General features: G+C 39.5%; 2 long non-coding RNA genes across 2 annotated transcripts in view, besides 1 other annotated feature; one reads left to right on the forward strand and one right to left on the reverse strand.

Annotated features, from left to right (window-relative positions):
* LOC101928438 (uncharacterized) overlaps window positions 1-14,640 on the reverse strand; it is a 234,104-nt gene that overhangs the window by 87,633 nt on the left and 131,831 nt on the right. The gene's annotated exons all lie outside the window — the stretch shown is intronic.
* LOC124902234 (uncharacterized) overlaps window positions 1-14,640 on the forward strand; it is an 85,285-nt gene that overhangs the window by 7,823 nt on the left and 62,822 nt on the right. The window lies entirely within an intron of this gene.
* Window positions 1,810-2,310: an enhancer, noted in NCBI's record as "OCT4-NANOG-H3K27ac hESC enhancer chr9:102437510-102438010 (GRCh37/hg19 assembly coordinates)". NCBI's record gives its function as "activates a minimal SCP1, AML or CMV promoter by ChIP-STARR-seq in naive and primed H9 embryonic stem cells {active_cell/tissue: H9 hESC(naive and primed)}" and the evidence as "EXISTENCE:reporter gene assay evidence [ECO:0000049][PMID:30033119]".

Below are 14,640 nucleotides of genomic sequence, written 5' to 3' on the forward strand. Positions count from 1 at the left end.
CTTTACTATTCCTTTGCACCCTTCATCCCAGCCTCTATTTGCCTTCACTTAGACTGACCCTGACACCCATTAGGCTCAGCAAATTACCTGGGCTGTACTGCCGCAAGGCTTCACAGATAGCCCCCATTACTTCAGTCAAGCCCAAATTTCATCCTCATCTGTTACCTATCTCGGAATAATTCTCATAAAAACACATGTGCCCTCCCTGCTGATCGTGTCCGATTAATCTCCCAAACCTCAATCCCTCACAAAAGAACAACTCCTTTCCTTCCTAGGCATGGTTAGTGCAGTCAGAATTCTTACACAAGAGCCAGGACCACACCGTGTAGCCTTTCTGTCCAAACAACTTGACCTTACTGTTTTAGTCTAGCCCTTATGTCTGTGTGCAGCAGCTGCCGCTGCTTTAATACTGTTAGAGGCCCTAAAAATCACAAACTATGCTCAACTCACTCTCTACATTTCTCATAACTTCCAAAATCTATTTTCTTCCTCATACCTGACGCATATACTTTCTGCTCCCCGGCTCCTTCAGCTGTACTCACTCTTTAAGTCCCACAATTACCATCATTCCTGGCCCAGACTTCAATCTGGCCTCCCACATTATTCCTGATACCACACCTGACCCCCATGACTGTATCTCTCTGATCCACCTGATATTCACCCCATTTCCCCATATTTCCTTCTTTCCTGTTCCTCACCCTGATCATGCTTGGTTTATTGATGGCAGTTCCACCAGGCCTAATCGCCACACACCAGCAAAGGCAGGCTAAGCGATAGTACAAGCCACTAGCCCGCCTCTCAGAACCTCTCATTTCCTTTCCATCGTGGAAATCTATCCTCAAGGAAATAACTTCTCAATGTTCCATCCGCTATTCTACTACTCCTCAGGGATTATTCAGGCCCCCTCCCTTCCCTACACATCAAGCTCGGATTTGCCCCCACCCAGGACTGGCAAATTAAATTTACTCAACATGTCCCGAGTCAGGAAACTAAAATACCTCTTAGTCTAAATAGACACTTTCACTGAATAAGTAAAGGCCTTTCCTACAGGGTCTGAGAAGGCCACCACAGTCATTTCTTCCCTTCTGTCAGACATAATTCCTCAGTTTAGCCTTCCCACCTCTATACAGTCTGATAACAGACCAGCCTTTATTAGTCAAATCAGCCAAGCAGTTTTTCAGGCTCTTAGTATTCAGTGAAACCTTTATATCCCTTACGGTCCTCCGTCTTCAAGAAAAGTAGAATGGACTAAAGGTCTTTTAAAAACACACCTCACCAAGCTCAGCCACCAACTTAAAAAGGACTGGACAATACTTTTACCACTTTCGCTTCTCAGAATTCAGGCCTGTCCTCAGAATGCTACAAGGTACAGCCCATTTGAGCTCCTGTATAGACGCTCCTTTTTATTAGGCCCCAGTCTTATTTGACACCAGACCAACTTAGACTGTGCCCCAAAAAAACTTGTCATCCCTACTATCTTTTGTCTAGTCATACTCCTATTCACCATTCTCAACTACTCATACATGCCCTGCTCTTGTTTACACTGCCGGTTTACACTGTTTCTCCAAGCCATCACAGCTGATATCTCCTGGTGCTATCCCCAAACTGCCACTCTAAACTCTTGAAGTAAATAAATAATCTTTGCTGGCAGGACTATGCTGAATCTCCTTAGGCACTCTCTAATCAGATGTCCTAGGTCCTCCCAACTCTTAGACGTTTTATACCTGTTTTTCTCCTTCTCTTATTCCATTTAGTTTTTCAATTCATACAAAACCATATCCAGGCCATCACCAATCATTCTATACGACAAATGTTTCTTCTAACAACCCCACAATATCACCCCTTACCACAAGATCTTTCTTCAGCTTAATCTCTCCCACTCTAGGTTCCCACACCACCCCTAATCCCGCTTGAAGCAGCCCTGAGAAACGTCGCCCATTCTCTCTCCATATCACCCCCCAAAAATTTTTGCCACCCCAACAATTCAACACTATTTTGTTTTATTTTTCTTATTAATATAAGAAGGCAGGAATGTCAGGCCTCTGAGCTCAAGCCAAGCCATCGCATCCCCTGTGACTTGCACGTATATGCCCAGATGGCCTGAAGTAACTGAAGAATCACAAAAGAAGTGAATATGCCCTGCCCCACCTTAACTGATGACATTCCACCACAAAAGAAGTGTAAATGGCTGGTCCTTGCCTTAAGTGATGACATTACCTTGTGAAAGTCCTTTTCCTGGCTCATCCTGGCTCAAAAAGCACCCCCGCTGAGCACCTTGCGACCCCCACTCCTGCCCGCCAGAGAACAAACCCCCTGTGACTGTAATTTTCCTTTACCTACCCAAATCCTATAAAATGGCCCCACCCTTATCTCCCTTTGCCAACTCTCTTTTCGGACTCAGCCCGCCTGCACCCAGGTGAAATAAACAGCCATGTTGCTCACACAAAGCCTGTTTGGTGGTCTCTTCACACAGACGTGCATGAAAGTTTCAACATATGAAAACCAATCAATGTAATATATTACAATAACAGAATGAAGGGGGGAAAACGTGATCATCTCAACTGATGCAGAAAAAAATGATCTCACAAAATTTAACACCCTTTCATGATAAAAACACTTGACAAAATAAAGATAGAAAGAAATTACCTTAACATAATAAAGGCCATGTATGAAAAGCCCATAACTAAGATCATACTCACTGGTGAAGGGTTGAAAGCTTTTCCTTTAAGATCAGGACTAAGACAAAGATGCCCACTTTTACCATTTCCATTCAACATGGTATTAGAAGTTCTAGCCAAAGCAATTAGGTAAGAAAAAGAAATGAAAGGCATAGAAATTGGAAAGAAAGAAGTAAAATTATCTGTTTATGGAAGGATATGATTTTATATACAGAAAACCCTAAAGACTACACCAAAAAAAAAAAAAAATCTGTTACAACTAGTAAATAAATTCAGCAACATGGTAAGATACAAAGTGAAAACACAAAAATCAGTTGCATTTTTATACTAACAATGAACAATCTCAAAAGGAAATTACAAAAACAACCCCATTTACAACAGCATCAAAATGTATAAAATCCTTATAAATTACTTAAGCAAGGAAGGAAAGACTTGTACAGTGAAAACTACAAAACATTGGTGAAAGAAATTTAAGAAGACATAAATAAATAAAAACATCTCATTCATGGTTTGGAAGACTTAATATAGTTAAGATGGTAATTTTAAGTCATGTGTATTTTAACACAATTTATAAGATTAGGGGAAAAAGAGATACAATTTCTACACAATAACAATCTGAGATAGCAATTTACATATATTCCTTACTGATAAACTCAGTGATGTCCACAAAAAGTCAGCATTAGGTCTGAAATCAAAATACCTGGGTTCAAATTTTGGCTTACCGGGTGGACTTATACAAGGTTCTAACTTTCCCTAAGCCTCAGTGTAAGTTTAATTATCCATTAAGTTAGAGTAATAATACCTACTTTCAAAGTTGCTTTACAGATTAAATGAAATAATATGCCAGATTACCTAGACAGCATGTACTATAGATGCTCAAGTTTTGTTGAAGAAAAAATTGGAATAATTTCATACCTAAGTATATCACTTTTAAATCAAAGCAATATAACACTTATTATTGGGTATTACTATGTAGAGAGTTATCAGAAGGAAAAACTTCAGTCTAATGGAAAAATAGGCTCAGAAGAGCAACAGTATATATGTATTTAATTTATATACAGTTGACCCTTAAGCAACAAAGGGGTTAGAGGATCTTCGTACAGTCTAAAATCCCATATAACTTTTGACTCCTCAACAACTTAACTACTAATAGATTTCTGTTGGCCAAAGCCTTACTAGTACCATAAGCAGTTCATTAAATCATGTTTTGTTTGTTACATGTATTACATGCTGTATTCTGACAATAAAGTAACCTAGAAAAGAGAAAATGCAATTAGGAAAATCATAAGGAAGAGAAAAAACATTTGCAATACTGTACTGTATTTATCCATACTGTAAGTTTATGTCATCTGTTTATAAGATGAATCATCTGTCTGAAATCGTGAGCAACTGCAGCTACAGACCTCAATCTAGAGTACATAACAAACTATTACACTTTTTGTTATAATCCATGACTTTTCTCTGCTTCCTGCAAGCACTTCCAGCATCACTAGTGGCTCTTAGTGTGGGTCCCACAGTGTTATTTCAGGTTCTCAGTATTGCACTAAACATGGTGAAAAATGCATGAGAACCTTGAGAGATCACTTTTTGGTGTAATTCACAATTTACTGAAGAGAGAATCTGCCCTCACAGAGATGATTATTGTCACAAGGTGCTTTAAGTGGATATTCGTAACATCTGAGCTCACTGCAGTAGTAACAGGAGGCGTCTACAAAATTATTACAGTAGTACAGTATGTGCTACAGTGAATTTTATGCAGCTATGATTTTACACTGCATCCTCACATTTGTTTACGTTTCTCTGGACTGTGAATGGTAACATGTACAGTCTGTATGCCTAAGTTTTGATAAATCTTAACTTCTTATTATGGATTTGTGTGTATTTTATGGTAGTAAATGATAAAATAAACTAGTGCTACATATATTTTATGCATCATGCCATACCTAATTTTTCTTAACTTTTTTGATATTTCTAAGCTATGCTGTTTGTAACTTTTTTCAAATTGTCACAAATCTCAAAAAAAATTTCCAATACACTTATTGAAAAAAATTCATATAGAAGTGGATTAGTGCAGCTAAAACTCTTGTTGCTCAAGGGTCAACTGTATTTTTTTTATTATTTTATATATATTATTTAAAATACATTTATTCATTTTATATATGCATATGTGTGTATATAATAAATAAGATATGTATATATGAGGTCATCCTAAGGTCTTGAGTGTTATCCCTTTATAGACAAAGGAATCAAAAAAGAATCTCAAGGAAGTCTCAGTCTATTAAAAAAGGTGCACATACATAAAGGCACCTTTAAAGGAATCCTCAAGAATTCGAACAGTTCATTTATGATGGTATACAAGATGAACAGCATTCACTGGACTAATACAAATAGTAAAATGCAACTGTAAATTGTTAGAAATTAATGCATTAATGCATAAGTATAATTTAAGAGAGTATCCAATCAGAATTATATTATGATTAAGCTGATGGCATAGCTTTCAAGTATAGGAAAGATATGTAGACTTTTACAGGGTATAATAAAGGTACACAGACTTTACTATATAGAAAAGATATGCTAAGGGCTCAGTTTATGTCTGAGGGCAGAAACCATGCAGGGACACACCAGAGGCAATAAACTATCTTTAGCTACCTCTGCATGCCTTACCCAGAAGCCATCTGGGTGCATGCTAAACAGAGCTGCCAAGGAAGGGAGGAGAAGGGGACAAACTTACAATGGCCATTTGCAATGGAATTCACTTATTGAGAGCAGAGAGATGACTGACCAAAGTTTACATAGGTCTCTCAGATGAGGAATTTGCACTGAGATTAGCAATATGATTTGCCAGATTAATTTCTTAGCCCTAAGGGAACCAGATTCTTTTAATCAGTTGGCCCATCTGTCCTGGAGATTTCTTGGAGAGAAACAGTAGACTGTGATTTATCAAGGAATTGCAGGCTTATTGGTAGGACAAGCTTCTAGGGAACCTCCGGCCTTAGCTAGTGTCACAAGCCTCTGAGCTGCCCTTGAGTGAGATAAAATAAAAGCTATCCTGTGAAGACCACAGGCTTTTTAGCAGAATCTGCGTGGGCAACCTTCATCTGATTCTTTTCTTTCTTCTAATATCTAGACACTTCATTGGTTCCTACTCTGGCTTTAGACCTTGGACTTGAACTTTCAGAGTCTTCTCCCCAACTCTACCCCTGATTAAATAGCTTGAGTCTCCTCCTGTTCTTTCCAGTCCCTGAACTTCCTTTCCTTTGGTGACCCAAATCCCCATTCCAGACTAGGTCCAATCATCTTTCTTTTATCAATCCAGCACACCTCAGAATTTTCCCTCATTCAAGCCCCAAGAGTACCAAGAAAGAAAACCCAGCCAACTAAGTGCCCTCGCACTAGGAATGAGGAGATGTAGTTGGGGACCATCTATCCTGGTTGCTCACCCTCCAGAGACCCTTTCCAAAATCTTGTCCACCCACCACTAAAGACTTCCTTTATTCTGGTCACAGAGAAGTGAGCAACTGATTTTCCCCACTCCCATGACCCTGTTTCCACCTCAGTGACCTGGGTCAAGAATAAGAAGAGAGAATAGTGCCTGAATAATTACCTCACCTGAGATTCACAATCACCCTGTCAAGTACATATATATGTACAATCACATCATATGCACTTAAGAGCCGATATGGTTTGGCCGTGTCCCCACCCAAATCTCATCTTAAATTATAGTTTCCATAATCCCCACGTGTCATGGGACAGACCCAGAGGGAGGTAATTGAATCATAGGGGTGGTTACCTCCATGATGTTCTTGTGATAGTGAGTGAGTTCTCAAGAGATCTGATGGTTTTATAAGGGGCTTTTCTCCCTTTTGCTCAGCACTTCTCCTTGCTGCCACTACAATTGTAAGTTTATTGAGGCCTCCCCAGCCTTGCAGAACTGTGAGTTAATTAGACCTCTTTCTTTTTAAATTACCCAGTCTCGGGTATTTCTTCATAGCAGTGTGAGAACGGACTAATACAAGAGCTAAGAAAAGCTTCCACTTTTAAATAAAATGTCTTACTCTTCCAAAAAGAACAGTGCTTATTGAAATAAATGAGAAGAGGATGGTTGTTTTAAATCAGTATGACTAATGTTAAAAAAAAAAATCAACAGCTGGTAAGGAATACTAGGTAATCACATACACACGAGCTACCAACTAGGAACATTACAGTGTTATACCTACCATAATTTACTTCTCCCTCCCCATGTAGTCACTCAGAGTGGCAGCTGTGAACTTGGGCTTTGCATATTGGAGACCATTAGGAAAAGCAGCATGATTCATCATCTTCTGTTTATGTTACTTTAGTCACTTGGAGGCAGATCTTCTGAGACACTAACAATAGTCTGAGACTAAATTGATTTTTTTTCTTTAAATAACTTGTGGATTTTTTAACTCTTGAAATTTCTGCCATTTCAGGTAAAGATGCATAAAATCTTTGAGTGAGAAGGGAACTTGGAGGTCACCTAGAACAGTCTCTCATCCTCATCAAACTATCTTCTACAACATTGCTGGAAGCTATACAGACTGTCTTTGAGTTCTTCCAGCAATGAGAAGTTCACCACTCAAAAGAAAGACCATTTTGATTTTTCAGATAGCTCTAATTATTATCATGTTTTTCTTTTACATACTCCTATGTAATCAATCAGTAGTTTGTTAAAATTTTTTCTTTTAGCTTTATCCAGGAGTGTATTAGTCTGTTCTCACATTGCTATAAGGAACAACCTGGGACTGGGTAATTTATAATGAAAAGAGGTTTACTTGGCCCACGGTTCCACAGGCTGTGCAGGAAGCATGGCTGGGGAGGCCTCAGGAAACTTACAATCATGACAGAAAGCAAAGAGGAAGGGGGCAGAGCTTACATGGCCAGAGCAGGAGGAAGAGAGAGATGGAGAAGGTACTACATACTTTTAAACAACCAGATCTCATGATTACTCACTCACTATCATGAGAACAGCACCAAGGGGAAATTTTCCCCCTTGATCCAATCACCCCCAACCAGACCCCATCTCCAACAGTGTGAATTAAAATTTGACATGAGATTTGAGCAAGGACAAAGACACAAACCATATTATTCCACCCCAACCCCTCCCAAATCTCATGCCATTCTCACATTTCCAAATACAATCATGTCTTTCCAACAGTAGACCAAAGTCTTAACTCACACCAGCATTAACTAAAAAGTCTAAAGTCCAAAGTCTCATCTGAGACAAGCCTAGTCCCTTTCACCTATAAGCCTGTAAAACAAAAAACAAGTTAGTTACTTCCAAGATAATATGAGGCTACAGGTATTAGGTAAACAATCCCTTTCCAAAAGTGAAAAATCTACCAAAAGAAAGGGACTCCAGGCCCCAAGCAAATCCAAAACCCAGCAGGGCAGTCATTAAATCTTAAAGCTCTAAAATAATCTCCTTTGACTCCTTGTCTCACATCCAGGCCGCACTGATGCGAAGGGTGGGCTCCCAAGGCCTTGAGCAGCTTCTCCACTGTGGCTCCGCAGGGCCCATCCCACACAGCTGCTCTCAAAGCCAGGCACTGAGTGTCTGTGGGTTTTCCAGGTGCATAGTGCAAGCTGTCAGTGAATCTACTATTTTTGGGTCTGAATGATGGTGGCTTTCTTCTCACAGCTCCACTGGGCAGTGCCCCAGTGGGGACTCTGTTTGGGGGCTTCAACCCCACATTTCCCCTCTGCACTCCCCTAGCAGAGGTTCTCAATGAGGGCCCCAATTTCAAAGCAGGCTTCTCCTTGGACATCCAGGCTTTACCATACATCTTCTGAAACCTAGGTGGAGGCTCCCAAGTCTCAACTCTTGCACTCTGCACACCTGCAGGCTTAACACAATATGGAAGCCACCAAGGCTTAGAGTTTGCTCACTCTGGAGCAGTGACCTGAGATGTATCTGGGGCCCTTTTAGCCATGGCTGGAGCTAGAGTGGCTGGGATGCAGGGAGCAGTGTCCCAAGGTTGTGTAGGGCACTGGGGCCCTGGGGACCTGGCTCACAAAACCATTCTTCCCACCTAGGCCTCCAGGCCAATGATGGGAAAGGCCATGAATGTCTTTGAAATGCCTTGGAGGCATTTTCCTCATTGTCTTGGCTATTAATATTTGGCTTCTCTTTATTTATGCAAATTTCTGCAGCAGGCTTGAGTTTTTCCACAGAAAATGGGTTTTTGTTTTCTATCACATGGCCAGACTGCAAATTTTCCAAATTTTTACACTCTGCTTTCCTTTTAAATGTAAGTTCCAGTTTCAGATAATCTCTTTGCTCATGCAAGTGAGCATACGCTGTTAGAAGCAGCCAGGTCACACCTTGAACACCTTGCTGCTTAGCAATTTCTTCCACCAGATACTCCAAATCATCTCTCTCAAGTCCAAACTTCCACAGATCTCTAGGGCAGGGCACAATGCCTCCAACCTCTTTGCTAATGCATAACAAAAATGACCTTTGCTCTAATTCCCAGTAATTTCCTCATCTCCATCTGAGAACTCATCAGCCTGGCCATCTCTGTCCATATCACTATCAGCATTTTGGTCAAAACCATTCAACAAGTCTCTAGAAAGTTTCAAACTTTCCCTCATCTTCCTGTCTTCTTGAGTCCTCCAAACTGTTCCAACCTCTGTCCATTATTCAGTTCCAAAGTCACTTCCACATTTTTAAGTATTTTTATAGCAATGTCCCACTTTCCAGTACCAATTTTCTGTATTAGTACATTTTTGCATTGCTATAAAGAACTACCTGAGACTGGGTAATTGATTTAAAAAAAAATAAAAGAGGCTTAATTGGCTCACAATTCTGCAGGCTATAAAGGAAGCATGGCTGGGGAGGCCTGAGAAAACTTACAATCATGGCAGAAGGCAAAGAGGAAGGAGACATGTCTTACACAGCCAGAGCAAGAGGAAGAGAGATGGGGGAAGGTGCTGCACACTTTTAAACAACCAGATCTCGTGATTACTCACTCACTATCATGAGAACAGCACCAAAGGGGAAGTTCGCCACCTTGATCCAATCACTGTCCACCAGACCACATCTCCAACATTGGGGATTAAAGTTTGACATGAGATTTTGTCAGAGAGACAAAGACCCAACCATATAAGGGAGGAAATTATTTTCCTGATCACATAATATCTCTTCAACTAAGGCAGATTTTATGTTTGTTTTATCTTCTCATTTCTAGGATAAGAATCTATAGCTTCTCTAAATTTTCCTTTAGACTCCTCAGCATCCCAGACACTCTCCTTTGAATGAATAGCTCTTTTGGAAAATGGCATGAAATTTTAACAGAAGGCTAACAGATGTGACCTGGCCTGGGCAGAGTTTGTAGAGCCTCTGTGAGCACAATGCTTCTACACATGCAACTTTGGCTTTCTTAGAAGCCATGCCACACTATTGTCTCATCTGAGTTTGCAGGTGTGGAACCTCCTGGTGTCCTTCTCAAATAGTGTGACTTACTTTCAGGGTGTCCCTGGTTCTGTCACTCAAGGATTCACTTTTTAACTCAAATTTCCTATTTTATATATTTATAGCTACTAAATTTTATCTTGTAAGCTTTACCCCAATATGGCAGATATCAAGACCACTTAACCATTATTTACTGTCTCTTCCAAATTTTCATTATTCAAAAATGTGAGGAGTGTTTTCAAAGACTTCATCTTTGATGATAATTCTGACTACCCAAGGATAAAGCAAAGCAGTAGAGACATAAACCCTTTAATGAATGATCTTTGGAGAAGTTTTATAAGCTGGCTGCTGAACTAGAGCCTAATGGTAAAAACACTTCCCAACTATCAGAGAGTTACATATCTTGATGACATTCCCAAGACCCCTAAACCACAATTGCCCATAGAAGTTTTTTTACATAATAAAATACTTTGGCCTACATAAAGGTACTTCATAAGAAGCGGCCCTTAAAACTCACCATTGCATTTCATGTAAGGATTTATTGAGCAGATGGTTTACTACATGACATATGTCCTCTTTACAAGGACCCAACAGAAGCTTCTCTGCTCTCAGTGCTGTTTCTCTTTCTTATAGACACTTGTATTTATGATGTTTCCTCTTTGCTTTGACTGTTAGGAAGCCCACAGCAACATTTGCAAATTACCTCTAGGAAGTGTACAAAGTGTGGAATAACAGAATGTCATGGCATACATTTAATGAACCAACAACACACTCAGTTTCCTCTTATTTCCTTTAACGTTGTTTTTCCTTTACCCTAATTTTCTCCCTCTTTTGCTTCATCTTATTAAACTTTATGTATTGTTAAAGCCATCAAAAATCTTTTTAGAACAAAGACAAAAATAGAAGATAGGTAAACGATCCAGGCCATATTTTCCTAAGGATTTTATCAACAACAATATCATGAGAATTTTGCTAGATGGTTTGCTGCATCAAAATACATACACTGTGTTTATAGTTTTAACATGATCCACAGGACTTATGATTATTTATTTATTTAACTTTTTTTTTCTTTTTGAAACAGGGTCTCACCCTTTCACCCAAGCTGGAGTGCAGTGGTGTAATCACAGCTTGCTACAGCCTCAACCTCCCAGGGTCAAGCAATCCTCCTGCCTCAGCCTCCTGAGTAGCTGGGACTACAGGCACTCACCACCACACCCGGCTAATTATTTTTTATTTTTTGTAGAGATGGGGTCCCACTATGTTCCCCAGGCTCAATTATTTAAAAGAAAAAGGAAAATAAGGAAATGTCCTTGTCCTAGTAGAACCATACCAGTTCCTGACAATTACTACTTTTCTAAATGTTTACAAATCATAAGTACAGTTGCCATTTTTAGAATTTTTCCAGGGATTAATATCAAGCTAGAAATTCAGGAATTAATATAAAGCTGTCCATTCTGTTTGTGGAGGGTGGCATGCATATTTTGTTTTTTCTTTAGAAATCGGGAATATTTGCTCATTCCAAGTATCCTGGAATTCCTCCTATCCTTCATGTCTTATTTAAAGATCACTGATAATAGCTTTGAATTATTAACTGTCAGTTCTCTCAGTATTCTGGGGCAATTAAGAAATGCAGTGAACTTTATATTTAAGCCCAAGAAAAATTAGGCATCATTCTTTTGAGAATAAGGTTTAAAGTATGTTACAAGCTGTTCAAGTGGTTAAATTAGAATAATTAGTATTTTGTGCAAATAATTTTACCACAAATATAAGCCTCAAGAGAGAGAAGTGAGAGAGTTCAGGAAATTAAAATTTATTGTGAACTAACTGTGTATGGGTACCACACTAGGTGGTTTACATACCTAATTTCACATTTGTAATAATCCTATAATGATAAAAAAAATAACTGTTGGGTACTAGGCTTAGCACCTGGGTGACAAAATAATCCGTACAACAAACCCCCGTGGGACAAGTTTTACCTGTAACAAACCTGCACATGTATTCCTGAACCTAAAATAAAAGTTAAAAAAAATCTTATGATCTAAGTGATGGTGTTATCTTACAGATGAAAAAAAGTTAAATTTCAGGGAGGTTAAATAGCTGCCTTAGATCACAAAGATAAATTATAAGGCTGGGTCTTGAACACATAGCTCATGCTTTTTCCCCCATATCAGACACGTGAAGTAACATAAAATGGTTAGCCATTTATAACCTTTATCTGACTGGAAAATGACAGTCATGAGGTTTATGCCTGTCTTGGTAATCTTGTTCCTTCAACACAAAAGTCAACTTGGAGCTAAGAAAACCTACACAAAAGAAGAGTTTTGAGTCCCCAAGAAAAATAAATTACAAAGAAAATAAACTTTTACCAGAGTACTAAGAGGTAGTAAGGCTGCCATACCAAAGGCCAAGGGGAAAATTCTCATAGTAAGAATGAGATATGGCTGGGTGCAGTGGCTCACACCTGTAGTCCCAGCACTTTGGGAGGTCAAGGCAGGTGGATTTCTTGAGCTCAGGAGTTCAAGACCAGCCTGGGCAACATGGCAAAACCCCATCTCTACCCCCCACACCCCAAAAAAGAAAAGAAACAAAAAGTTAGCTAGGCATGGTGGTGCGCACCTGTGGTCCCAGCTACTCAGGAGGCTGAGGTGGGAGAATCACTTGCACCTGGGAGGCAGAGGGTGCAGTGAGCCAAGATGGTGCCACTGCACTCCAATCTAGGTGACACAGTGAGACTCTGTCTCAGAAAAACTTCAAAAAGGAGAATGAGATATGTAATTATGAAAAAATAAGACAATATCCTTCGAGCAAAGTAAAGAAAAGAAAAAAGAAAAGTTAGATCAGGCAGTGACAGAACATTATCAGGCAATGGCAGATGATAATTAAAGTTTAGTTAAGAAAAACGTATCTATATTTAGTTACTTATATTTCTTTAAATTTGCTTTAATTGCAGTTGAAGCCATAGTAGTAACATGTGTAGAAGAGACTGATCCAGGAGGTTGGGGTAGGCTCCTGGTATCTCTTCTTTGATAAATCTCTCTAGCTGACTGTAGTGCTTAACTGCAAGTTAGAAGCTGGAGCCATTGAATGTATACATCATGCTGCCTAGCATCTAGGAACAAAGAAAAAAAAGTCTTCTAAAGTTGAGATTATTAAATAATTAGTATATAATAGAACATATAATCTTCTGAAGAAGTAATTCATAAGAAAGAGTTTATAAATGTGTTGCTGATTTTAAATAAAACAGTGTGTTTCTCAGGAGTGTAAATTAGTTCAACCACTGCAGAAGACAGTGTGGCAATTCCTCAAAGTCCTAAAGACAGAAATACCATTTGACCTAGCAATCTCATTATTGGGTATATACCCAAAGGAATATAAATCATTCTATTATAAAGACACATGCACGCATATGTTCATTGCAGCACTATTCACAATAGCAAAGACAAGGAATCAACCTAAATGCCCATCAATGATGGACTGAATAAAGAAAACGTGGTATGTATAAACCATGGAATACTATGCAACCATTAAAAAGAATGAGATCATGTCCTTTGCAGGGGCATGGATGGAGCTGAAGGCCATTATCCTTAGCAAACTAACATAGGAACAGAAAACCAAATACTACGTGTTCTCACTTATAAGTGGGAGTTAAATGATGAGAACACATGGACACATAGAGGGGAATAACCCACACTGGGGCCTATTGGGGGATAGAAAGTGGGAGGAGGGAGAGGGAGAGGATCAGAAAAAAATAACTTATGAGGCCGGGCGCGGTGGCTCACGCCTGTAATCCCAGCACTTTGGGAGGCCGAGGCGGGCGGATCACGAGGTCAGGAGATCGAGACCATCCCGGCTAAAACGGTGAAACCCCGTCTCTACTAAAAATACAAAAAATTAGCCGGGCGTAGTGGCGGGCGCCTGTAGTCCCAGCTACTTGGGAGGCTGAGGCAGGAGAATGGCGTGAACCCGGGAGGCGGAGCTTGCAGTGAGCCGAGATCCCGCCACTGCACTCCAGCCTGGGCGACAGAGCGAGACTCCGTCTCAAAAAAAAAAAAAAAAAAAAAAAAAAAAAACTTATGAGTACTAGGCTTAACACTGGGTGATGAAATAATCTGTCCAACAAACCGCCATGACACACGTTTACCTATGTAACAAACCTGTACATGTACCCCTGAACTCAAAAGTCAAAACAAAAAAAGTGTGGTTCTCAAATTTCCATCAGATACCAGAGTATCTCCCAAATTCATTCAAGGTGACTAGCATACACTTCCAGGGAGACATAACTACAATGCAATACAGGTAAAGATCCAATTGTATTGTTACTTACCTGGCACAAGACTACTTCTGATAACTGATAAAAGAATGAATTGAATAGCAAACATTTATCATTTTTTATCCAACAGTATACAAGAAAGAGGGTGTTTCTGTCATATATGATAAACATTGATTCCTTACCTAGAAGCATACGTACACCAAAAAGGGCAACCCATGCAGATAATTCTCCATAACAGAAAGAGACCTTAAAAGCATACA

The sequence above is a fragment of the Homo sapiens genome, chromosome 9, assembly GCF_000001405.40.
Source record: "Homo sapiens chromosome 9, GRCh38.p14 Primary Assembly".
NCBI classification, from domain to species: domain Eukaryota; kingdom Metazoa; phylum Chordata; class Mammalia; order Primates; family Hominidae; genus Homo; species Homo sapiens.